This window comes from Homo sapiens, chromosome 16, assembly GCF_000001405.40.
Source record: "Homo sapiens chromosome 16, GRCh38.p14 Primary Assembly".
NCBI classification, from domain to species: domain Eukaryota; kingdom Metazoa; phylum Chordata; class Mammalia; order Primates; family Hominidae; genus Homo; species Homo sapiens.
Genome location: NC_000016.10, coordinates 1613532 through 1638906, shown reverse-complemented (window position 1 = coordinate 1638906; position 25375 = coordinate 1613532). Strand labels below are relative to the sequence as shown.

Here is a 25375-nt window from a genome sequence, read left to right as displayed (position 1 = left end):
GGGGAAGTGCAGGAGGGCAGGGCCTCCCACACACAAATGCCACACTAGATTGCAGCAGCCACCCCGCAGGACACAGCAAGGCATGGAGGGGCAGCAAGGGGACAGAGTGTGGTGCAGGCCTGGCACAGACAGGGCGACTGCTCCGTATCTGTCCTCTCAGCCCCACCACCCGCCCTGAGCTGTGACATGCTAGCTGGCGTGGTCGTGCAGTATCCCACTGAAGAGGGGGGGATCCCCTACAGTGCCCACTGGACAGCCCAGGCATGCTCTCTTCTTATGAAGTCAGGCAGAAGAAGCAGGGCTGAGGGGCGCTGGGCACAAGCGCCTGGTAAGTCTACAATGTCCCTACCTAGAGGTCGTGTCAAAAATGTCTCAAGGGAATCTGGTCCCGAGGAGACGATCGGAACAAATCCAAGCAAGGGCCTGCGTGAGGAAGGCCTGAGCGCGTTGCAATGTCTCAGAAGCCCAGGCAGTGCGGCCGCTCTAAGTCAAAGACACCCAAGGGAGACTCCACAGTCACATGCAGGGCAACGGCCCTTGACAGAAGCCCTGACTGATATTTTGGGATGTTTTAGAAAATCTGAATATGGGCAGGAAATTAGGTAAGATCACTACACCTGTTTGGTAAATGCTAAAAGTCTAGGTGCGACCATGGTATCAAGGCTATATAGGAGAAATGTTCTCTGAGGTGATGCCGGTGGAGGTATTCTGGGCTGTGGCGTGACATCTTACAGTCGAGTGGAATGCAGAGTGTGTGAACACATGTGTGCACGCGAGCATGTGTGCATGTGCATGGAGAAAGAGAGCAAATGTAGCCAACGTCAGCAACAGGTCCATCTAAGCTAAAGAGCACGGCCGCCATCATATTCTTCACCTCTTCTAGTAAAATTTTTTCAAGATAAAAGTTAGAGGGAAACTAGAAACAACTCTGAGCACTAAAGCCCAAAGGTGACAAAGGACAGGAGGAGCCGTGGGCAACCCCACAGTCAGCGTACTCACAGCCCCCAATCTTCTTGCGCAGCTCGCCATAGCAGATCAGGCCATACAGTTCCTGGGATGACTTCTTCAGGCCTCGAGAGAACACTGAGAAACAGAAGAGAAGGCGGCTTTAGAGAGGGGAACAGGAGGCGCTGCCTGGCTTGGGTGTGAGAGCCACACCAGGCTCACGTGGTTTCTTGGATCTCCTCCCTGTACCTTTGTCATGCAAGCTGTCAACCACAGGGGACACTGGGCAGAGTGTATAGAACACGGTGCTGTGTCTGCGATTTTCAAAATAAAAAGTTAAACCAAAGTGGGGCGTTAGAAATTTACCCCAATAGGCAGAGGAAATGTCCCCTGGAGGAGAAAACACAACACTCAGAACAGCTGGTACTCGTGAAGGTGGCAGATGTGGCCAGCACTAAACCTGTCATCCATCTCTGCACACAGGTGAGGCCAGCAGCCCTGAAACCTGGATGCTGCCTTCCTGCCTCACCTGTGCCCTCCCAGGACAGTGGATCTGCATAGCCCGGGCCCAGGCGGGAGGAGGAGCCAAGGACAGGTGCTCACCCCTGCCTGAGGCCCATTCTCCTTCCTCAGTAAGAGGCCCTGTTTTTTTTTTTTTTCTTTTCTTGGAGACAGGGTCTCACTCTCTCGCCCAGACTGGAGTGCAGTGGCATGATCTCGGCTCACCGCAACCTCTGCCTCCCAGGCTCAAGAGATTCTCCTGCCTCAGCCTCCCAAGTAGCTGAGATTACAGGTGCACACCATTATGGCCTGGCTAATTTTTGTATTTTTAGTAGAGACAGGGTTTCACCATGTGGGCCAGGCTGGTCTCGAACTCCTGACCTCAAATGATCTACCTGTCTCAACCTCCCAAAGTGCTGGGATTACAGGCATGAGCCACCGTGCCCAGCCAAGGCCCCTGTTTTATTTGGGAGGCAAACAGGCTGAGACATGGACAGCTGGTCATGGCTACACCACTGGAAGTAGTGGAGACTTCCAGAAGCCTCCTTAAAGAGCCTGATTTGGGCAGGAGGGTTCCCCTTTTCCCACCCCTCTTTCCTCAAGAGCCACTGCCTGGAGCTGTCACCAAGGACAGCCAAGCACAAGAATGGGAGGCACCTGGGTCCTGCCTGCCCTGGGCGCCAGCCTCTAGGCGTCTCTGCCACGAGACAGTGAATTCTGAGGCGCTTGGGCCACTGCTATTTTGCATTTTGTTACTGTATTACACCAGACCTAATCCTGCTAGGGAAACCAAGTGACAACACAGTCCAGGCCCCTTTGGGTCACTTCACAGAGCAGGGGTGAAGGCCATTTGTCCCCTCTACTCTCACAATTGTCCTCTCTAGTTCTCTCCTCAGAGACCTGTTCTCAAGGCCCTAAGACTGGTAAATGGAGAAGCAGGCTTTCAAGATATGAGGAGGATTCTGGACCATGGGTCTCGGACACGGCTAAGCACAGGCCAACTGCTCTCAAAGGCTCTTCTGAGAGAAAGACCTAAGACCTAAGGGCTCATCAGACTTTCTTTTTTTCTTTCTTTCTTTTTTTTTTTTTGAGACAGAGTTTCGCTCTTGTTGCCCAGGCTGGAGTGCGGTGACGCGATCTCAGCTCACTGCAACCTCCGCCTCCCAGGTTCAAGGGATTCTCCTGCCTCAGCCTCCCAAGTAGCTGGGATTACAGGCATGCGCCACCACGCCCTGCTAATGTTTGTATTTTTAGTAGAGACGGGGTTTCACCACGTTAGTCAGGCTGGTCTCAAACTCTTGACCTCAGGTGATCCGCCCACCTCGGCCTCCCAAAATGTTGGGATTACAGGCGTGAGCCACCACGCCTGGCCTCATCAGACTTTCTTAAAGGAGCCCATGACTCGGAAAGCTTTAAGATCCACTATTCAGTAGACAAGCAAAATGTGGCCATCCACCCAAAGGAAAATAATCCAGCCATACAAAGGACTGGCACACGCTACAACACAGACAAACCCTGAAACCTGACGCTGAGTGAAGGAAACCAGGCACAGAAGGACACATAGCACGTGATCCCATTTCTATGAAACATCCAGAGTAGAACGATCCATAGAGACAGGAGGTAGTAAACTGAGGGCTCCCAGCACCGGGGCACAGGGTTTCCTCCTGGGCAATGGACATATTCTGCAACTAGAGAGTGGCAATGGCTGCATAACCTTGTAAGTACATTAAGAACCACTAAGTTGTATGCTTTAAAAGGGTGAATAATATCCCCATTTCTAAAATATATATTTTAAAGTCCACTATTTGAAATGGCAAAAAGAAAAAAACCCACAACCCAGAAACAAGAAAGTAGCACCAAGAGCAAGACACTGCAGACAAGGGACCCCAGGGGAGGTGGGACCCTGGGACGAAGCAGGGCTTCCGGGAGGTGTCCCTGATGCCCCGCCTGGCCCCACGGCCTCCTAGGTGGCACCTCATGTTTTATTACACACTCAGGGACAGGAACCAAGCTCACCTCATCCAACTTTGAGTTCGTGAAGCAAAATCTCCACTGAGCAATGGACAGCAGCAAGGAAACGCAGATGTGCATGGAAACCACGGGAGATTAGTAAGACGAACACACACGCAAGGCCCCCAAGCTGGGGGCGGAGTCAGTCCCTTCCACGCTCGCTTGCCACCACTCTGTGTCTCACGCCACAAGATGAGTCAGACAAACCCATGATAAAGTGCACACGGTGTGCTCTTCAAAACTCCAAAGCACAGGCCAGGCGTGGTGGCTCACGCCTGTAATCCTTGCACTTTGGGAGGCCGAGGCAGGTGGATTTCCTGAGCTCAGGAGTTCAAGACCAGCTTGGCAACATAGTGAAACCTCATCTCTCCTAAAAAATATAAAATTAGCTGGGTGTGGTGGTGCACACCTGTAATCCCAGCTACTCGGGAGGCTGAGGCATGAGAATCGCTTGAAACTGGGAGATGGAGGTTACAGTGAGCTGAGAGTGCGCCATGGCACTCTAGCCTGGGCAACAGAGCAAGACTCTGGCTCAAAAAACAAAACAAAACAAAACTCCAAAGCACGCCAAAAATACATGTAACGTGAAAAAGTTGCCACTCTGTTTGATGCGCAATGACAGTCCATGGGGCCAGTCACTTCGCAGTGTCCTAGTGGCCTCCAGCCTCATGCTCCTGTTGGGCAAGTCAGCATCGGGTGCCCCAATGCCGCTGCCCGCTGGCACGGAGGCAGACAGCCCTGCTGAAGAGACAGTCAGGGCCATCAGAGAACCCGGGAGAACACGGGAGAACGGTGAGCTCAACAGGAAGAAGGCACATCATGTGGGGTCACACCAAAGATGCACGAACAGGAGACACCAAGGCTGTAGGAGCCTGCTGTGCCAGGTCAGGAAGAGAGGGAAGCACAGGGGCCCACACGGAGAAGGGAAAAGGACCTGTGTTGGGTGTGACCCCCCACCGAGAGGTGTGAGGGAGCATTTACCCTTCACCCTAGATGGACAGAAGGGCCAAAGAGGAATGAGGCCTCCTCGCACCAGCAAGTTTAGGATTAGGAGGTTGTTTAACAGGGAAAGGTGACACAATTAGAAAAGAAATGTTTGCTTTGACTGCCTTCTGAAATTGACATGGGAGAGAGCCTGGGTTGGCAAGTAGAATGTGCATTTGAACCTCAGAAGAGGAGATAAGTCTACGCCAGGAGCCTGAGGGTCCAAAGACGCTTCCCACCCTGCCCGCAGATGGTTCAAGCAAAGCACACTAGACCGAAGCTCCTGGAATCCCATCCCTCTCTCTATACCTCATCTACTAAACAGCTGCCCAGTCCCCTCCGCTGCTGGCCAGCTTCCCCCATAGAGAGCTTTTCAAGACCAGCCACAGTGGATGGCAGATCTGCTCTCATGGACTGACTTTCTTTCTTTTTTTTTTTTTGAGACGGAGTCTTGCTCTGTGGCCAAGCTGGAGTGCAGTGGTGCAATTCTCCTGCCTCAGCCTCCCGAGTAGCTGGGAGTACAGGTGTGCACCACCATGCCCAGCTAATTTTTGTATTTTTAGTAGAGATGCGGTTTCACCATGTTGGCCAGGATGGTCTTGATCTCTTGACCTCGTGATCCGCCCGCCTCTGCCTCCCAAAGTGCTGATTACAGGCATGAGCCACCGCGCGCAGCCTGGACTGTCTTTCAAAAAGGCACTAATGAACGATGCAAAGGACAGACGACACAGGAAGAGGCCGACAATGAAAAGTCGGTGCTGCGTGCCACTCTGGAAGGCACAAGGCCACTCACCACAACCTGACATTAACCACAACAGCCTTGGATGACGGGATCTGACCAGTGCTGAGATTTCAAATAAACAAGTGAGCTGAACATGAGAAGACCAGCACAGGCATCAAATATAGGACAAAACGGAACTGATGTGCTATAAATAGGTGAAGTCAGCAGAAAATCTTACATGAATGGTCACGTGGATACCAAAAGCAAACAAACAAAACCGCATCGGCGGCAGACCCGAATCAAGGGGTACCCCTAATGTGCAGAGACCAACAGCCGTTTCCATGGATCTCCAGAAACGGTGACAATCTCCCAGTGGAGGTTCTTCAGTGGAGAAGCTAGCTGCGTGGTGGGCAGGGGGTGTCTGCGGCCCTCAGGGCTCTGCCCAGTCACACAGGGGAGCTGGGTCCTGGCTCTTCCCAAAGCTCCGGGCAAAGCTGATGCACCATGGTCAAGATGCCATAACCCACCCAGAGGACACCACAGGAATGGCCAAGGCGAAGGACTTTAGGTCACCACGAGGCACAGGCAAGGGCACAAAGAGTGGCAGTGTGGCCACAGTCCAGGTACCCTGGGTCAGAATGTGAGACATCTGAAAGAAGGCTCAGAAGGCAGAGGGGTGCTCTGGGGGTACATCTGGAAGGACCAAGCTGTGTGTGAAGCTACAGGAATGAAGAGCAGGGCCCAGCACAGGTGCGCTGCTGGAGAGGTAGTTCTCATAGGCGGAGGCAGGAGGCAGCTAAGACTCCCAAGGACAGAGATGGTGATGGACAAAGCATCATCCGGAGAAGCCACCAGTAGCCAAAGGGTGCTCTGAGCCAGAAGCCAGAATTCTACCTGGGGATGACTTGGTCCCGTGACTGAACGAGGGCCGACGCAGACCTGGGTCCCAGTGTAGAGGGCGAGAGGCCTGGGAAGGCTGGCCGTCCCCCAGGAAGACCAGCGCCAGGCACGGTGCCTGCGGCCCAAGCCCCTCGCTGGACCATGGTGCTATCATTTGCAGTGGAGACCACAGGCTTCAGGTGAGCCAGGGACCCAGAACTCACGCACACTCAGAGCCACTGGAAACACACAAACCATAGCTCAGAAAAGCAGTGGTAAGAACCCTGGAGCATGGGATACGGGCCACTTCCTGGCAACTTGGTTTGACCGAGTTAGACAGCACACAATCAGCCAAAGCGCTGCAAGGCGAGGAGCCCCAGGCCAAGCGGCTGGTGAGAAAATGCCAGAAAGCAGGTCCGGCGGGCTTGCTGGAAGCTGCGCTCTGAGCAGAAGCCGGCCCTGCCTGTGGGCACCCCCGAGCCTGGCCCGTGGCACACTCACCATGATCAAAGTCGATGTACTTGGTGATCTTGTGCCAGGTGCGGTAGTAGAAGTGGCGGACCTGCTCCTTGTTCTTCACCATGCTTGCTGGCTTGCCTTTCTTCTTGTACTTCAGCGCAATGTTGTTCTGAATCGCTTCAAAGTCTTTCCCATGCTGGAAAATAAATTCCATGATAAATGTAGAGGGGTTAAAACAATGCAGCTTTCTGTGTTAACTGGACCCTTTCCAAGGTTCCGAGAAAGGAGAAAGGAGACAGGCTGTAGTCAAACAAGCAGCCCTTCCAAGCTCTTATCTGTGTATGAACTTGAACTTCGACTCCCTGGAACCTTAGGTTTTAATCAGGATAAAGGAGCAATGGAACCAGGAACAGAACCATCAGAGCACATGGATACCAAAGAGGCAAGCACCCCAGACAGGAGAAACATAAAGCTCATCACTTGGACAAATGCCTTAATTGCTAGAGTTCTTCACAGATAATGAAATGAGACACCTCCATGAAGAAAAGCTCTGGAAGAGAAGCAGTTATGGCATCTTAAAGAACAGATCAGAAACATCCTCACTGCTTTAATCTGACAAAATATATTCCATATTCAAACGAGGACAGCAAACGTGAGCATTTAGTAAGTGAACCGCACAGACTATACTCTGATTATACGTGGAGGCCAACCCTTCTTGGAACGCTTCTTTGCAAAAGCTGAGTGTGACTTAGATTTTCAGAAGAGAACTTGTGTTCCACAGAACAGCCTCACCTCAGTGCTGCTTCAGGCACTGCCATAGAGAACCTAGTGTTCGATCATCTCATCAAAGCCAAGCTCCTAAGTACTGGAAGGGCTCAGCAGTAACCAGCATCCTTAGCGCCCAGGTCTTGGTTTCTAAATACCACTTTGCAAAGGGAAGCTGGGCTCCCAGGAAAAACAGCCAACTGCAGAGCAGCAAGCAGCCACTGAGTCTGGAATGCCTGACGGCACCAGCACACGAGAATACACTGGCAGGCGATGGGGACGTGAGAAGAGGATGCAGGAGCCAGCATGAGGCTCCCCAGTGGCCAAATGGGGAACCAACGGGGCGAGAAAGCCGACAATGGCATGGTGGACCATGACCCCCAGAATAAAGCCAACATCTGTGAGTCTACATGGGTGTAGGTAACAGAATAACTGCACGTGTGGGGGAGAACGCAGGGCTCTTCTTGGCACAGGACTTCCAATCAGCAAACACAGAAAGAATAAAGGAAACAGAAGGTCCTCACTGGGAGCAAACAGCACAGTAACAACTGCTTCAGGGAAAAGGCAGCGATGGCTGCTGAAATCAGTGGGAGCAAAGAATGATGAGAAACACGGTATTTACACAGCCTCAAAGCCAAGCCATGACCCAGCCACGGTGAGACCTGGCAGACGCTGCCTGAGGGCAGCGACCAAGGCAAACACCACCAGGACGGAGACAGAAAGAACACCACGGGCCGCCAACTGGATGCGCCAAGAAGGACACGGTATCACTGCTGTGGAATTCTTGACAGAAATGCGTAACATAGAATCATGAGGAAACTGCAGATCAACCCAAACTGACACAAGGGACATTCTACAAACCAACATGCTGTGAGTCTCCACAAGTGTTGAGGTCATCAACGACAAAAAAACATGCAAACAAAAAACAAAAACCCAGGAGCTGTCCCAGGTTACAAGAGACTGAGGAGTTTGGGCAGCCGAGTGCGGCGCAGCGTCCTGGCCAGGATGGACCTGAGTGGGACCCTTGTTAATCTGAATACCGCCTGCAAATGAGCAGGCAGGGCCATGTCTGTGCTCATACCCTCACAGTGCGGCTGCCCTAATGCTGTGGAGGCAGGGTGGAGGGGACCTGCTTTGTGCTGTTTTTGCAACTTTTAAAAAGTCTGAAACATTTCAAAACAAAAAGTTAAGGGAGCCAGGTGGTGGCTCGTGCCTGTAATCCCAGCACTTTAGGAGGCTGAGGTGAGAGAATTGCTTGAGCCCAGGAGTTTGAGACCAGTTTGAGCAACATAGTGAAACCCCATCTCCACAAAAAACTTAAAAATTAGCCAGGCATGGTGGCACATGCCTGTAGTCCTAGCTACGTGGGAGGCTGAGGCAGGAGGATCGTCACTTGAGCCCAGGAGGTCAAGGTTGTAGTGAACTAAGATGGCAGCCCTGCACTCCAGCCTAGGTGACAAAGCAAGACTGACTCTCAAAAAAAGATGTTTTTTAAATCAAAAAAATAAAAAACATGCTGATGGGGGGTAAGGGGTAGTAACTGGGGAGCAAGATCCTCAGGGAAATGAGAACCTGGGGACTGCTGGGGTGCTGGCCCCCAACCCTGTCCACCTCAGAAGACTCTTGGCAGCTGGGGGACCGTGAGGTGACCTGGAGGGGCCAGAGGGGAGGTGGCATTGTGCTTGACACACTGACACATTTTAGGATCTGTAACTCCCAGCAACACAGGGGCTGAGGGAGGTGAAGACAGAAGCTGCTGTGGGCTGGCGGGTGGGGCTGGAAGGCTGGCACCCCAGTCTGGGTGCAAAAATGAAATGAAAAATTAAAAACTTTAGAAAAAGTAAAACGTGTTCATTGTTTTCAAAAGGAATGGCAGATAAAGCATAAAGAGGCGAAGCAGCACGTGAAAGGCCTTCCTGCAAGGTCCAGGCAGGCCCAGCCCTCCCCACGCTCCCTGGGCCTCGGCAAGAACCACGATGAAGCAACTTGACGGCCTCTGCATGTCACTGCGGGGTCGTCTACTCAAGAGGTTCCCTGAGAACCTGAGTTCCAGGCCTCCTGCTCACGTGTTCTTAACCTCTGCTGCCTCCTAAAGTCCCAGGGCATCTGTGTCGCGCCTGCCGTGTGTCTCCAAGGCAGCAAGCCCCACCAGACAGAAGCTTTTCTGTATTCTCAGTGTGGCGAGAGTGCTCTGTCCTGAGTCAAGAACCAGATATACACACGGTAACGGCAATGAGAACAAAAGATGGGCAGGGCTGAAAGTCTGAGAGAGCTGTCTGGGGTGAAGAGATAGAAACCTGCAGCGTCCACAGAGCTGTGGAGATGGTAACAGGCTGAGGATGCCCCCGGCTGCCTGTGCAGAGACAGGGAGGGCCTAGGTGGGGACAGAGAAGGGGAACACTGCGAAGCACAGAGGCCAGAGCTGAGGCCGCAGCCATTATGCAGAGAGGGAGAAGGAAGCACAGGACGCTGGCTGTGTGGCTGTCAGGTAGGAAATCAAGAACTGTATGGCAAAAACAAGCATGGATGATGGACGGATATAAGCAGGAACAGGAACTTGAAATGAAGTCAGGGCTGGGTCTGTGCAGACCTGCCACAGAAATGGAAGGGTATTCAGAGGAAGGAGGCGAGTGCCCTGCCACAGGTGAATGCCCGCCCTGCCAGAGGGAGAAGTCTGGACGGGCCATAACTGGACGGGCGCGAATCTGAGCATGCCCAGCACTGCCCAAAGTAGGGTGTGCAGGGGCAGCACTCTCGCCTGAGGAGCAGCTGAAGCAGGAGAGAATTCAGCCCATGATCAGGAGTGACCAACTGAGGCCCAGTGATGGCGGTGGGGTCCCTGCATCCAATCAGGCCCCAGCCAGCCTTGCTGCACCCCTCCCAGGGAGGCATCAAAAAGGCAGCGGTGGCCATGACAACATGGCAGAAGCCGCACTTCTCAGAGCAGAGGCCTGTGCCCAGTCACCGTCACCCCACAGCTTGAGGGTTCACAGTCACACCTGCCACCGGCCAGTCAGCCACACATCAAGACCCCACCAGAAGGCCACCTAGTTTTGATGAGACACACAATGCAGAAATGAAACGTGTTAGGCCAGGTGCGGTGACTCATGCCTGTAATCCCAGCACTTCAGGAGGCTGGGGCAGGTGGATCACCCGAGGTCAGGAGTTCAAGACCAGCCTGACCAACGTGGCGAAACTCGGTCTGTAATAAAAATACAAAAATTAGCCGGGTGTGGTGGCGGGCACCTGTGATCCCAGCTACTCAGGAGGCTGAAGCAGGAGAATCGCTTTAACCCAGGAGGTGGAGGCTGCATTTAGCCAAGATCGTGCCACTGCGCTCCAGCCTGAGCAACAAGAGCGAAACTCCGTTTCAAAACAAACAAACAAAAAGTCCTTTCTCTTGCCCTCGCTCTTTCTCATATACAAACTCAGATACAGAGAACCCACAGCAGAAAGCATTACATGATCAGAACAGCCAACTATTAATTATTATTACTAATTCAGGATTTCAGAATCCTCAAAAAGCATCTACCCGATAGAAAAACTCTAATGAGCAGCTTAACCCAATGGGAAGGACACGAACTGAACTGCTTGAATAAGGGTAAAGGGTGGATCATTAACAAGGAACTCCTCCTCTGCTACCTTTAATGGACAACCACATCTCCTGCTCCCAGGCACCCAGACCCTCTTGCAGAGGCTACAGTCTTGCCAAGGAGGAAGGGCCACACCACAGGAGTAATTGTTTCAGGCAAAAATCAGCAATGGTTGCTGATTCTGAAAACATTCCAGGAATCGCAGGTCCTCCAAGACCAACAAACAGCTTAAAGGCACGATTTGGGGCTTGAATCTACACAAAACCAGCCTCCTTGCTGTACTCTAGAACCCTCCAAGGGAAGAAAAGGAACACACGAATGTGTTTAAATGGCTTCATATCTACTGCAATGGGACTCATGCACACTTCTCTTTGGACAATCAGAATCAAGCCACACTGCCACGGCAGTCCGGTCCACCTGGGGTGGGCAGAACCTAACCTGCAGCCCAGGGCGGGAGCGACCCTGGCCACAGCATGCACCGTACTCAAGTCTCATGCCCACATTTACGAGTGTCTCCTTTTCTAATGCCTCTCTAAACATCTCATTCCAGAGCCTCCATTTCTTTCTTGAGCATTCTGCTTCCCAGGCTTGACAAGACTTCTCCATCACCCCAATTAATTAGCTATTAAAAGAACAAGGCTCCTGGGAGGCCAAAGTGGGCAGATTGCCTGAGCTCAGGAGTTCGAGACCAGCCCAGGCAACACGGTGAAACTCCGTCTCAACTAAAATACAAAAAATTAGCTGGGTGTGGCGGCGTGTGCCTATAGTCTCAGTTACTCAGGAGGCTGAGGCACGAGAATTGCTTGAACCAAGGAGGCGGGGGTTGCAGTGAGCCCAGATTGCACCACTGCGCTCCAGCCTGGGCAACAGAGTGAGATTCCATCTCCAAAAAAAAAAAAAGAACAAGGCTCACCGATCACGAACCTAATTCTAATACTGTATGCCAAAGAAGCAGTCTAAAGTATGAAGCGTGCACACCGATGTTCACCACAGCGTTACTTACGACAACAGAATCTGGAAGGATCTCAGTCATCCTTGACCACACAGGAATGGCCAAGCAGAGCAGTGGCTGGCCAGGGCCTCAAGGGCCACCCTGTCTGGTGCAGCTCTTCAACTATGCCACTGCAGTGGCATCAGCCGCAGACAGTACATCGACCCTGGCCATGGCTGTGCTCCAATATGATGTTTTTACAAAAGCACACAGTGAGCACACAGGCAAGGAGAATATTTACAGGCGTTAAAAAAAAATACAGAGCAAAAGAGCTATGAAACACCGTGAAAAATGCAAGCAATGTTAATTAAAAAGTATGCTCACAATAATTACAAGGATTTAGAAAACAATAATGCAGGTGAAACTGGCCAGCAGGGAGCACGGGCATTCACTGGGCGGTGGGGTCAGGGAGTGGCTTCTCTCTATTTTTAGGACTTTCCATTTTGTCCCAAGTCAGCAGCAACATCTCGTGAGGTTTCTCAGCTACACTGACCCCCGAGACAAGCACCGCCTTGTGCCTCCCCTCAAGAGGCCATCCCGCCTAAATCAGCCCACTCAGCACAAAGGGAAAGCCCTGAAACAAGAGGGCCTTCAGTCAAGAACATCTTTGAGAGACAAGGGGTGAGAATATCCAAAAGGAAATGAAGGAAACACACAAAAACACCTCCTCACAGACACCTCACCAGTACTAGCTTCTAAAATCTCAATGAGGAGATAAAACAGCCAAGGTCAGTGGGCAAGGCTAGAGCCCACATCAGCCTCCGCCACTGCGGGGGTCGCCCAGGAATCTGCGTTCTAGAATCTAACAGCAAAGAGGAAGCACGGGGAACGGAGGGCAGGGATCCGAGAGGGACGCCCAGGCTGCCTGGCCGTGCCTCCACAGCCTACTCACCTCGTACAGCCCCTCGAAGAAGGTGTTCTTGTCCTCTGTGCTCCACGACTCCCACTGCCGCCGGACCTTTTTGCCTTCTTCCTTCTCGCCACCAGAAGACCCTAAGTTCCGGGAGGAGGAGCGCGAGCCCCCTGCAGGGGCAGCAGGGGCAACCCCAGACACATTTCCAGACGATGATCCACCACCTTCAGCTCCTTGGAGAGAAAGCACCGTACAGTGATCTGTTCCAGAAAGCTGGCGGGCTGGGCAGGGTAGAGGGCCGGTGGGAGGGAAGGGCCCACTGCCCTGAGGTCCCACTCCACACTCCTCAACCGAGGATGCTGGCAGGCAGCACCCAGGACCCACGGCACCAGCGAGGCTGCTTAGGACTGCCAGGATCTTTACCTGGCCAAATGACCCTCAAATGTTTTTACAGTTAGAAAAGGAGCAAGATTTTATGTGGAACCATGTAACAGCACAATGACGCTGCAGCCTAAGACGCCCTGTCCACAATGGAGACAGAGATCCCTTCCCTCTGCAAAATGAAGCCTCACATCACATTTCATGCGTATTTCTTTTGTAAATGAGGTTTTTGGTTAAATATTCTTAACATCTTTTCAAATAAGTAGGTTGAGATTCAAACTCAAGGAAACAAACGTGTAAAACACCACCTTCTTTTAGATAAAATCAGTGCTTCAGAATATGAACTGTCCAACGCCTAAGAATCTTTAGTCTTAAAATTCCTTACCCTCAATCAATGTCCACCAAAAAAACGTAGTGTTCTGAGAATGACCTGATAACCTTGCAAATCCTATTATAGCATCAGTTCCCAATCTCATGCCAAGTCCTCTGAGACCAAGGAGGGAAAAGCCCAAGACGACCCCGAGGAGGCTTCATTCCCCAGCTGTGGACCGAGAACCCTGGCCAGGCTCCTCCGAGACCGGAGGCAGAGATGTGGCAGGAGTCAAAAGACCACAGATAAAAACTTTTCATGGCCTAACACATTCCTCCCACCCATTTCAGTTCCTCCTCGCAGAGGGAGCGGGAACTGTCAGCATATCCCTGTGATAACCAGGGTTCTCTTTTTATGGAACTGCAGGACCATAAAAAGCTGGGAAACCTTCAAACTCTGAAACAAAAATGCTTTAAAAATCAAAAACTGGCTAGGCGTGGTGGCTCACTCCTGTAATCCCAGCACTTTGGGAGGCTGAGGCGGGTGGATCACTTGAGGCCAAAAGTTCGAGACCAGCATGCGCAACATGATGAAATCCCATCTCCACTAAAAATATAAAAATTAGCCAGGCGTGGCCAGGTGCAGTGGCTCACGCCTGTCATCCCAGCACTGTGGGAGGCTGAGGTGGGCAGATCACGAGGTCAAGAGATCGAGACCAACCTGGCCAACATTGTGAAACCCCGTCTCTACTAAAAACACAAAAAATATTAGCTGGGCATGGTGGCACACGCCTGTAGTCCCAGCTACTCGGGAGGGGCTGAGGCAGGAGAATCGTTTGAACCTGGGAGGCAGTGGTTGCAGTGAGCCGAGATCGCGCCACTGCACTCCAGCCTGGCTACAGAGCAAGACTGCGTCTAAAAAAGAAAAAATTAGCCAGGTGTGGTGGTGCACGCCTGTAGTCCTAGCTACTTGGGAGACTGAGGCAGGAGAACTGAATTGCTTGAACCCAGGTAGTGGAGGTTGCAGTGAGCCGAGATCGCACCACTGCACTCCAGCCTGGATGGCAGAGCGAGACCCTGTCTCCAAAAAAAAAAAAAGCAAAAGCCAAGCAAATGTAGATTATTGTAAAAATGATTTCCTAATGAGATAATCACAGGCTTTTCCATCCAGATCTGCTTCTTCATCGACCCAGAAGGGGGCCCTGCCTGGGCAGCCACACGCAGGCTAGAGGCTCAGTGCCTCACCCGGTGGGGGGTCTGTCTCCAAATTTGGAGGTGGAGGTTGCAGTGAGCAGAGATCGTGCCATTGCACACCAGTCTGGGCAACAGAGTGAGACTCAGGCTTAAAAAAAAAAAGAACTTAAAAAAGAAAAAAAAAAAACTCAGCCTCTCAGTCACGCCAGCCCCATTTCTAGTAGTCAATGTCCACATGCGGCCATCGTTGCAGAGAGAGCTACCAGACGGTGCTGCACCTGAATGTCCAGCACTCACAGCCCAAAACACACTGGCATGGAATAAACAATGAGTTCCAAGTGTGTCCCACCCAGGCCGCTTTCCGGCTGCTCCATTCCCAGCCTGCACAGACAACAGAAACAAAACTCAGGTATGCATATGCTCTGTGCTACCAACCAGGCTAATCAAATGCCTGACATGTTATCTGGCCCTGCCCATTCCTCACCAAACCTGGACTTAATCAACCAGGTGGTTCCCCAGAACCTGGTGCTTCCGCAGATGATGGACAGGTACAGATGCCATTTGAAACTTAACTTTTCAATACAGGGCACTCTGGCTCACTAGGAGCCTGGATTCCTCACGTGGAGTCACTTCAGCAAGGACTGCCTGTCCACCTCTGCACCACCCACAACAAAGGCTTTCAGAGCCATTTTCAGGTTCCTAAGAAACACTCGCTAAACTATCATCTTCCAAGACCACAACTTGCTAACCAGCCCTGCCGTTACGTATCAGGTTTATTTTTGCTAGCCCATGTTGGCATTAGGTATATTTGAAAAAGTAACAGACATAAATTTCCTAAAATTCCATAATCCACATGTCTTGCTAAATCTTAGTGGATCACAGCACTGGTGATCCAAGACAAGGAGAGTGAAACAGTAAAGGCTAACAGAATGGAGTGTCTGAGCTGGACGGGCTCTCAGAGGTGGAGAGGAGGCAAAGGCACACAGGAGATGTGAAAAGAAGGCACAACAGTAAAGGCAGCTCTGATGAGGCTGGTGAAGCGGCACTCACTCCTCAGAGGAGCAGGCCACCTCCCAGCAGCCCAAGGCTGGGTGTGAGGGGTTCACCCTTTCCTTCTGATGTTTTAAAAATGACACATCCTCAGTAGAGGAAAGTAAAGCAAGATGAACATTCAGAAAAGAAGGCAGGCCTGAGGTTGGGAGTTCAAGACAAGCCTGGACAACATGGTGAAACCCTGTCTCTACTAAAAATACAAAAATTAACCGGGCGTGGTGGTGGGCGCCTGTAATCACAGCTACTTTGGGAGGCCGAGGCAGGCGGATCTCTTGAGGTCAGGAATTCGAGATCAGTCTGGCCAATGTGGTGAAACCCTGTCTCTACTAAATATACAAAATTAGCCCCATGTGGTGGCGTGCACCAGTAGTCCCAGCTACTCCAGATACTGAGACAGAAGAATCACTTGAAACCGGGAGGCAGAGGTTGCAGTGAGCTGAGATCTAGCCACTGCACTCCAGCCTGGGTGACAGAGTGAGAGACTGTCTCAAAAAAGAAAAAAAAAAAAAAAAAAAGTAGACTGCCGGGCGTGGTGGCACACACCTGCAGTCCCAGCTACTTGGGTGGCTGAGGTAGGAAGACTGCTTGAGTCCATGAGTTCAAGACCAGCCTGGGCCACACAGGGAGACCTTGTCTCTACAAAACAAAACAGACAGAAAACCCCAAAAAACAGACAAGAAAGCAAATCGCCCCAAGTAACCTTTTCTAATATTTGGTGCCCATTATTCTAGACTTGGAGTGCTTTTTTGGTTGCTGTTGTGTAAGGAGTCTTGCTCTGTCACCCAGGCTGGAGTGCAGTGGTGCAATCCTGGCTTACTGCAAGCTCTGCCTCCCAGGCAGTCAATTCCGGCACCCAGCCTCTCGAGTAGCTGGGATTATGGGTGCACACCACCACAATGGCTAATTTTTTTGTACTTTAGTAGAGACGGGGTTTCACCATGTTGCTCAGGCTGGTCACGAGCTCCTGAACTCAGATAATCCTCCCGCCTCAGCCTCTCAAAGTGCTAGGGTTACAGGCATGGGCCACTGCGCCCGGCCTAAACTTGGAATGCTTTTTAAAAAACAATCACAAACTTCAGAGCAGAAACTGAAGGTGGCCTCTGGTTCACCCCTAAAATTTCAGATGCAGAAGTGGCTTCACTGCTTGACCTCGGCTCACTGAGTACAGCTCAAGCGAAATGAAATAGAAAGTGGGACCAGAGACACCTGGTAGAATACGATGACAGCCTGTGTGAGGCCACCTGACTCAGCTCAGAGAAATTCAGATGAAAACAGAAGGTGATGACTGAAGGGGAAGACAGAGAAGCAACAAGAAAAATGGGAGGAGAAAGGCAAGAGACGGAAAGGTAAGATGATGTAAACAAAACTAGGTGGGCTTCTCTGGGTGCAGGACACCCAGCGAAAAGCAGAAGGCCAAAGCCAGGTCCATCTGTGACTGTTGCTGAGCCCACAGAGGCTGAGTGTGGTCTGCACAATGAGGAGAACCATCGAGAAGCCTGCAGGGAAGTGGGGTGCAGAAGCAGGATCGCCAACAGTGCACTCTTTGAAAGCAAGAACCGTGTGGAACTTCCCCACACCCAAGCCTGGTCCCAGGCCTCACACACAGCAAGTGCTCAGTGACAGCACAGGGTCCCACGGAGCCTAGATAAAGGGCCTCCCCAAGCTCCCTCTGCCCCTCGGCAGCCCCAGACAGCACACCCCAGGCTGCTGGGACCCAGGTCCTCCCAAATGGAACCCACCTTCCTGCTTAGCCCGTGTCAGCGCCACAGTTCTCCAGAGGCCACACTGCCACCTGCTTTCCCCTTCCCATCCGCACCGCCTGTTTCCCAAGCCAGCTCTCTGCCGCCCAAGTAAGACAATTTCAACAGCCTCTTCTCAGGTCTCCCAAACCCCTAGCACCTGCCACAGCCTGCTGTGCAGACGGTGCAGTGAGGGCACAGCCATGTGGCCCCAGCGCACCCTCCCAGCTGCTGGCCCCTCTACCTAGCTCCAGACAGGCCCTACCACCTATTCTTTGCAACACGTCCTCTTCCCCATCACATGTCCTGGGTTGGTCTGGAATGCCACCACCTGCACCCCTTCATATCACCTTAAGAAGAAAAAGTATCCATATCTTTCAACTGGGGAAGCTGAGGCACGGGCTGAGTAGGTCACCCACAAAGCCACACAGCTGCTCAGTGCCCAGCAGGCCTGGAAGTAACAGAACCTGTATTTAAATGGCACCTTAAAATGCATTCAAATGCCCTGCTTCTTCCTGTCCTCGCAATGGGTAGTTATCTCCATTTTAGAAATGGGGAAACTTTCAGAAATTATTAATAGCATTATGTCATGTAAAAAAAAAAATGAAATGGGGGAAACTGAGGCTTTAGAAGCCCCGAAGTCACCAGGCAGCAAGAACCACGCAACCTTCTCACTCCAAACCCAGGCGTTTCCCATGCCGTGCCGTCAGAACAGCTCTGAAAGCCAAGCAGCGCACACTGTCCTGTCACAGAGCTGGAGGATCAGGGTCGTGGTGGGGGAAACCAACCTCAAAGTCCCTCCCTCAGCCTGGGAAAGGTGAGAAGTTAAATGACTCACCGAAAGGCACGCGGCTAATAGACAGCCAGAGCTGGGCCTTTGGAAGATGTCTGTCTGGACGTGAGAGGTCAGACGCAGAAGCCCAGTGACACCCTGTCATCATCTCTAACATCAATTCACTGTCCTGGAGCACTCTTTCTGTGGTTTGGTGAACTTCCTTCAGAGGGTTAGGAATAGTAAAATCAAGAGTGACAGAACACCAACTGCGAGGGAGTCAGCGTCTGGTCTGGAGGTGAGAGGACTGCAGTGAACACACCCGTCTCCCCCATGCTTCACTCATTTCTCAGCTAGAAAGGCACTGGCGACACCCGCTCGTGGAAGGGCATCTCCAGACTTGACCGTGCCCCAACCCCAGCACCGGGAAACGTCCTCATGGCCTACGTCTGCAGCATAAGACAGCAGGGACCCTTCCCAGGAGGCCAAGGATGGCGCAGAAACTGCAGAGGTCCAACGCGTCCACCTCCAAGTCTCCTGAGGCATTCCGTGCCTCTCCTAACACAAGACATCGCATCAGATGCTGGTGCCAGCAGCTCTGGTCTTGGAGCCAGAGTTGTGGGTGAGGGCTTGGTGGATACCATCTCCAAGGTCACATGGGGGGACCCTTCAAGCAAGCCAAGCCGCAGGCAAGGTGTCATCTCGGATGAGTTCTGAGCCTCCCCTACCCAGCTCCATCGTCATGCACACGCAGTGGTGTCGCTCCATCCTATACGACAGGCAGTCGGTGAGCAAACCGGGACCCCTCCTGACCTCGCATTGTCCCATCAATCTAAAGATCTGGTCCACACTCCAGGCGTGCCTGCAAGAGCCCTGGTCAGGGTCGCCAGACTCTGAGATGTCCTCTTCCAGGTTCTGAAGCTGACCTAAAACCTAATGGTCTCCACGACACCCTCTGGGAGTCACTCATACTGTCCCCTTCTCTGCCGGGACTCCCACCCTCAGTGCCTGCAAGGCTCAGCGTCCTCCTGCATGCTCTGACCAGCGCTGTCTCTCTTGAAGATTCTCCCTTTCCCCTCCTACAAATATTTGAGAGAAATACAACTAGAACTCCACTGTTTGTATAAAAGCGTATGCCCTCTTCATGAAATACCAGCAGATTTTCTAATTGTATCCTGTAGGTATTGCAAGATATCCCAACTAAACTACAAACTCCTGGAAATGTCTCCTTTTTTCAGTGTTTCTAACGTGGTTCTTTAGTGTTAAAAACGCTGTTGTGCCGGGCGCAGTGGCTCACGCCTGAAATCCTAGCACTTTGGGAGGCCGAGGCAGGCGGATCACCTGAGCTCAGGAGTTCGAGACCAGCCTGGGCCATACGGTAAAACCCCATCTCTACTAAAATAAAAAAAATTAGTCGGGTGTAGCAGCATGCGCCTGTAGTCCCAGCTCCTCAGGAGGCTGAGACAGGAGAATTGCTTGAACCTGTGAGGCGGAGATTGCAGTGAGTTGAGATCGCAGCACTGCACTCAAGCCCAGGCGACAGAATGAGACTCCGTCTCAAAAACAAAACAAAAACAAAAAACAAAACCCCGCTGTTGTTACTTATGTGACAAAGAGCTTCTACACACCACTTTATACAACGATGTTAATTTTCACATTTCTGACTTTGCAATCATGAATCATCTCCCTGTTATATCCTTACATAAGCCACAATAAGATACAAAAATGAAAATCGAAAAGTCTACCTCATTAGACAACTTCACAACAACAGACACCACAGAAACTAGTTTTAATACCAAAAGTATACAGGTATTTGAAAAGCAGCTCAGCCTTCAAACCAATGTTCAAATTTTGCCTTACCTACTTTATCTTTTTTGGTTTTGTTTTGTTTTTGAAACAGGGTCTTGTTGTGTCACCCAGGCTGGAGTGCAATGTCCACAGCTCACTGCAGCCTCCAACCAGCAGCCTCAGGTGATCCTCCCACCTCAGCCTCCTGAGTAGCTAGGACTACAGGTACAATCTCTTATGAGACATCTTTTTGAAACATCTAGAAACTACAAACAGTCCACAGATTATACAAAATATAAAGAGTAAATTGTGCACAGTCGTTTACCGATTCCTACACACAAACGACTGTCACTTCAGACTACATTACCCTATTCTGGAGATGGTGCATTTCCCCATCCTTGATGGAACTGAAGTTCTTCGGGGTGAGAGGGGGACCAAAATAAGCAGAGGCTCTCTGTCCCCACCCCCAGTGTTCTCTCATCCCATCTGCCCCAGCAGAGCACCAGCATTCCCGGACTTCTACTCACCCCACAGGTAGGCTCCCCACCCCGCCAGCCTGTGCAGCCTCCTCCTGCAGTCCTGTAATCTTGAAGCTGCATGCATTTTTCATGGCAGAAACACCAGGTGCCTGTAAAACACCTTGTGACTTAAGGCAGGTGTTTATTTTTATATTTATTTATTTATTTAGAGACTAAGTCTCACCCTTGTTGCCCAGGCTGGAGTGCAATGGCGCAATCTTGGCTCACTGCAACCTCCGCCTCCCGGGTTCAAGCGATTCTGAGGCAGGTGTTTATTTTATCCAAAAGATGGACTAGTTTGCCCAGGGCTAGCTGGATCATGAACTGGCCAAATAGGGAAAGGTATCAGGACTCTGTCTCCTGACTTATGTCTTTCAGATGGTTTCTGCGGCTCTAAGCCGAAATCTCCAGTGCGTCCCAGGGTCACGTGGGTGGTGTATTAGAGCTGCAGGAATGTCTGTTTTGGGATTTCTGGTCTGCAGCTTACCTTGAGTTTAGGTTGAGCATGTGACTTAAACAATCTACTTCAGGTTCTGCACTCATTTAAAAGCAAAATTACAGACATGCAAGATGCCTGGCAAACAGGCACTAAATCCCAGCTACCATCGCTTTATCAATGCAAGAAGATTTAAATTTGAAACTGAACTAGAAAAAAAAGCATTTTTCATTGAAGTCAATAAGAGTGTCTTCTTCAGAGAAAGAAAACACACTTGCATGCAGAAAAGCCAAACAAGCAGACTTTCCTTTTCTCCACAAGTCCTTTCTTCCAAATTCACTGTAAGAGTCTCAGGCCCACTGAGATTGAAACTGGCCAGGGCAGTAAGTAATCAACCAAAGGAACTGCCAGTGATTGAGCTAAGTATTCCTTAGGCATAATAGAAGTTACATCATTTCCAAGTGAAAAATTGAAACATGAAGTATTGATCGTTTCCTCCCTGACAGATGCTCACCACTCCAGATGCAGATTTCTCCAGAATGTAAGAGGATTCTCCTCTGAGCATCTTTCTGGAAGGTGAGCTAAAGACTGTTGCGGGGCAACTGCCACCACCTGGCCTTCTTTTCTGACGGGTAATGGAAGCAACGACTGAGCAGAGGTCTCTCCAAAGACTGGTGTCAGAGGATGTCCTGGGCACAGTGAAGTGCCTCCCAAAGCACTGAGGAACCTGAAAGCAGAGAGCAGCGGACAGGCAGCCTTCCTTCCCGGGAAGCTCCAAGGCAGACAGTGGCCGAGAAGTTCTGTGATGCAAAGGAGACCCACTTCCTACTCCTCTCCTAAAAGCCACCATCACAGCTTAGCTTATTATTTGCTTAAAGATATATTTGCTTGTGGCCAGGAGCGGTGGCTCATGCCTGTAATCCCAGCACTTTGGGGGGCTGAGGCGGGAGGATCACAAGGTCAGGAGATCGAGACCATCCTGGCTAACACGGTGAAACCCCGTCTCAACTAAAAATACCAAAAAAAAAAAAAAATTAGCTGGGTGTGGTGGCAGGCGCCTGTAGTCCCAGCCACCTGGGAGGCTGAGGCAAGAGAATGGTGTGAACCTGGGAGGCAGAGCTTGCAATGAGCTGAGATCGCACCACTGCACTCCAGCCTGGGTGACAGAGTGAGACTCAGTCTCAAAAAAAAAAAAAAGATATATTTGCTTGCTAAAGTGGGATAATGGATATGTCACGAGGAGCACAAATTCTAATAAATTTGCATTTTATTAATATTAAAACTTAATGAAAAGTCCCACGCTTCTCCAAGCCACACAATGGGACAAGAAGCAAAGAAAGAAGTGCCAGCAACCTAAGTGTGAGCCAAGCTCAGGAAACCTTCTGCACCTTAGCAAGCCACTCTCAACTATACAAACAAAAGCAAGCCTCCCCTCGTCCCAACTGCCAAAAATTGACCTGATCACTAACGTCTCAGCAGCACTTCACTTATACATACAAGTAGCCACGTACACGTCTGAGAGTGCTTTCACACCAATGCACTATTTCATTTTAGCAGCCGCACTTCAACGGGGTGAAGTAGCTGCTCTCATTCCTTGCCTCACAGGTGAGGACACCCGACAGAAAAGCATCTCCAAGAGGGTGAAGGGGCAGAGCAAGGTTGGAGGCCAGGGACATGGGGGACGAATGCCGGCTGGATTCAAGGTCCAGGGCTTCTGAACCATGAACAACAAACCTTTGAAGGAACCATGGAGCTTATATGAGCTTAGACATACCTGTAACTAGCAATAAAAAACTAGTAACAAGCAAAGCCACTCATGTTTTCCAAATTGATCAGCAACTTTCACATCAAAATAAATTCATATGAGGCAAGTTTTAAATTCTGAAACATGCTAAGTTACCTTCTATTTACATCTTTAAATAAGTATACTTATATCAGAATTCTTTACCAATGAGTAAGGCCATGATTCCGGAGGCCAGCCTTCTTCGGTTGAGAATGCGGCAGGAGAAGTGGGCTTAATGGAACACATGTGGCACAGATCTCCAAAGCAGGTTCTCCATTAGTTCGTAATATATTTCCTTGTCAAAACTACCAGGACCATTCACTAAATGTAAACGAGCATTTCCCAAGGAAGGAAGTGAAAGATTTTTTTTTCACGTGAAACTCACTGGAAGCTGATGTTATATTTGCTATTTATACAAAGTGCTGCGAACATGGTCGGAAACAAAAAGAATCAGAGTCATTCACCTGCGTAAGGAAAAGCACAAGACTGAAATAGAAATAAGAGCAGACAACAATGAAGCACTGGCACATGGAGAACGAAACTAACATGCCGTTTTCTTACTATCTTGGTAAGAGACCCCAGCTAAGTAGCAACATTCTCCATCACCTCAGAATACAAGGGCGAACACTACAAGCTGCTGCTTGTTCATGTCAATCGTTTTCACCACTCTTTCCTTTCTTTGGCACAGAAGTAAACCCCAGTTGCAACTCAAAGGGCCCCATCTCTATGCCCTTCCTACTCTCAACCCAGGAGCACTTGAAGGAGAGGACAATGGGTCCAAGTCAGACCCCAAGGATCCTTTCTCCGCTTCTTACCCATCTTCCCCCCAATGAGTTTCAAAAGCCTGCTCCCTTGGTGCATTTCCACCGCCTGATGTCTGGGAAAGAGATACAGCAGGTATTTTTTTCTCTTCCCGTTTCCGAACTATTGTCCGCTGTTTGAAACACAAAACCATAGAAAACCATCAGTGATCCTTTGGAAAGGAAACAGCTTTAAGGGATCTCTTCGACTCCCCCCCAAAAAAGGATACTCACTGCCTCTTCAAAGAGTTTAAATATAGAAAGTCGCAGCCTCTTCGAAGGAGAGAGGGGACACATGCCCCATAAGTGCCACCCAAATTGAGAGCCTCAGTGTAGGCCGCGGGATGGGTGAGCTAGGGTGGAGCCCGGCTGGGGCGAGGGGTTCCTCTCCCCCGCGGCACACCCCGGAGAGGGGCTGGGGTCTCCCAAGGGGACGGGCCGCCCTACCTTTTCCGCGGGGCCCCGAGCCACCGGCGTTGCCGCTCCCCACAGCGCTCGGAGGATCCTTCCTGGGCCTCTTGCTCTGCGGCCGCACGCTGGACCGGAGGAAGTGGTGCTGGTCCTGGGGGCTGCCCTGCGGCGGGGACGGCGCCTGCGGCGCGCCGGGGGGCGCGGGGGGGCCGTCGGCGCCGGCCCGGGGGGTCTTCTCGTCCCTCTTTGTGCCGCTGCTCTCCTCGGCCGCGTCTGCGCCGCCGGCCCCTTCTCCTTCCAGGGACTCCTCATCGGCCGCCCGCTTGCCCAGCTTCTTGAGCCCGTCCTCCCCGCTGCCGCCGTCGCCCAACTTCACTGTCATCCTGCGGCCGGGAGAGGGGAGGCGGCCGGTGAGGCGGGCGCAGGCCGGGAAGTTTAGCGGCCCCGACGCGCTCTCAACATGGCCGCCGTTGTTTGTTCCAAATCCCCTCTCGGCGGCTCGGCCCGGCCCGCCCGAGCCCGCCCGAGCCCGCCGCGGCCCCTGCCGCCCCCACGCCGCCGCCCCCGGCCCTGCCCACCAGCCCGGGACCCTCCCGGGCCTCCCCGGACGCCCCCTGGCCGAGGCTCGCGTCCAGACGCCCGGGCCGGCGGCGGGAGGGCGCGACAGCTCGGCGGACCCTGCCCGGCCCCGGCCCCGGCCCCGGCCCCGGGGTCTATGGGAGCCCCGGCGCGGGCGCGGGTCTGGGCACGGTTGCGGGTCCGGGCCGCTGCCCCGCCCACAGCCACCTACCCGGCGGGGCCGCGGCTCATGGCCTGGCCCTGCGCGCCGGCCTCGCTCCCTGCGCCGCCTCGGCCGGCCGGGCCGCAGCCCCAGCCCTAGCCCCTCGTCCCACCCCCTCCCCGCCCCCCGAAAGGCGCGGGGCTCCCGGGCCCCGCGCACCTGCCCCACGCGCCGGCCCCCAGAGCTGGCCCTGGAGGAGGACAGAGGAGGCCGGATCCACCCCGGGACGGGAGAAGCGCGGGCTCGCCTGCCCGCACGGGGAACTCCATGGTGGCCCAATGCCGCCGGCCCGCCTGCTTATTTTAAAACACACATAAAGAATAATCAGCTCCGGGTCTCTGGGAATCTTCTTCCCAGGGTGGGAAATGTGAGCTGCTGCGGGGATTTACTAGTTAAAAATGCTTTTGCAACAAAGGAGCCTGTTGCATGGAACAGGTTGGAACCACCCGGGAAAGTGACAGCCCAGTTATGTCCGGGTCCAGGTGCAAGAAGCGGTAGAAGACAATGGTGTTAAAACTCTTGGCAACAATTAATAAAATTATTGCATCAACTTTGCTACCCACCGCCCTGTAAAATGTCAACAACAAAGTGCAGTGACTAAAAATGCTGCAGCCCAGAAAGCAGAGCCACTCAAAAATAAACTCAGACAATCAGGTACACAGCAAGAGCTGCAGCCCAGAAACAGTCCGGGACGGGCACGTGTGAGGAA

At 51.9% G+C, this 25375-nt stretch overlaps 1 protein-coding gene across 1 annotated transcript in view, besides 3 other annotated features; it reads right to left on the bottom strand.

Moving 5' to 3' along the window:
• Positions 1-25375, bottom strand: part of CRAMP1 (cramped chromatin regulator 1) — a 65549-nt gene that overhangs the window by 39002 nt on the left and 1172 nt on the right. The window contains exons 2-5 of the mRNA NM_020825.4: positions 23922-24268; positions 12741-12934; positions 6542-6695; positions 1000-1083 (exon numbers count right to left, since the gene is read on the bottom strand). Of these exons, the coding sequence (NP_065876.3) occupies positions 1000-1083; positions 6542-6695; positions 12741-12934; positions 23922-24267 (778 nt within the window). The 5' untranslated portion in view covers position 24268. The remainder of the gene's footprint in view (positions 1-999; positions 1084-6541; positions 6696-12740; positions 12935-23921; positions 24269-25375) is intronic.
• Positions 15945-16094: an enhancer, noted in NCBI's record as "active region_10230". NCBI's record gives its function as "activates an Ori minimal core promoter by ATAC-STARR-seq in GM12878 lymphoblastoid cells {active_cell/tissue: GM12878}" and the evidence as "EXISTENCE:reporter gene assay evidence [ECO:0000049][PMID:35858748]".
• Positions 16810-16979: an enhancer, noted in NCBI's record as "active region_10229". NCBI's record gives its function as "activates an Ori minimal core promoter by ATAC-STARR-seq in GM12878 lymphoblastoid cells {active_cell/tissue: GM12878}" and the evidence as "EXISTENCE:reporter gene assay evidence [ECO:0000049][PMID:35858748]".
• Positions 18406-18485: an enhancer, noted in NCBI's record as "active region_10228". NCBI's record gives its function as "activates an Ori minimal core promoter by ATAC-STARR-seq in GM12878 lymphoblastoid cells {active_cell/tissue: GM12878}" and the evidence as "EXISTENCE:reporter gene assay evidence [ECO:0000049][PMID:35858748]".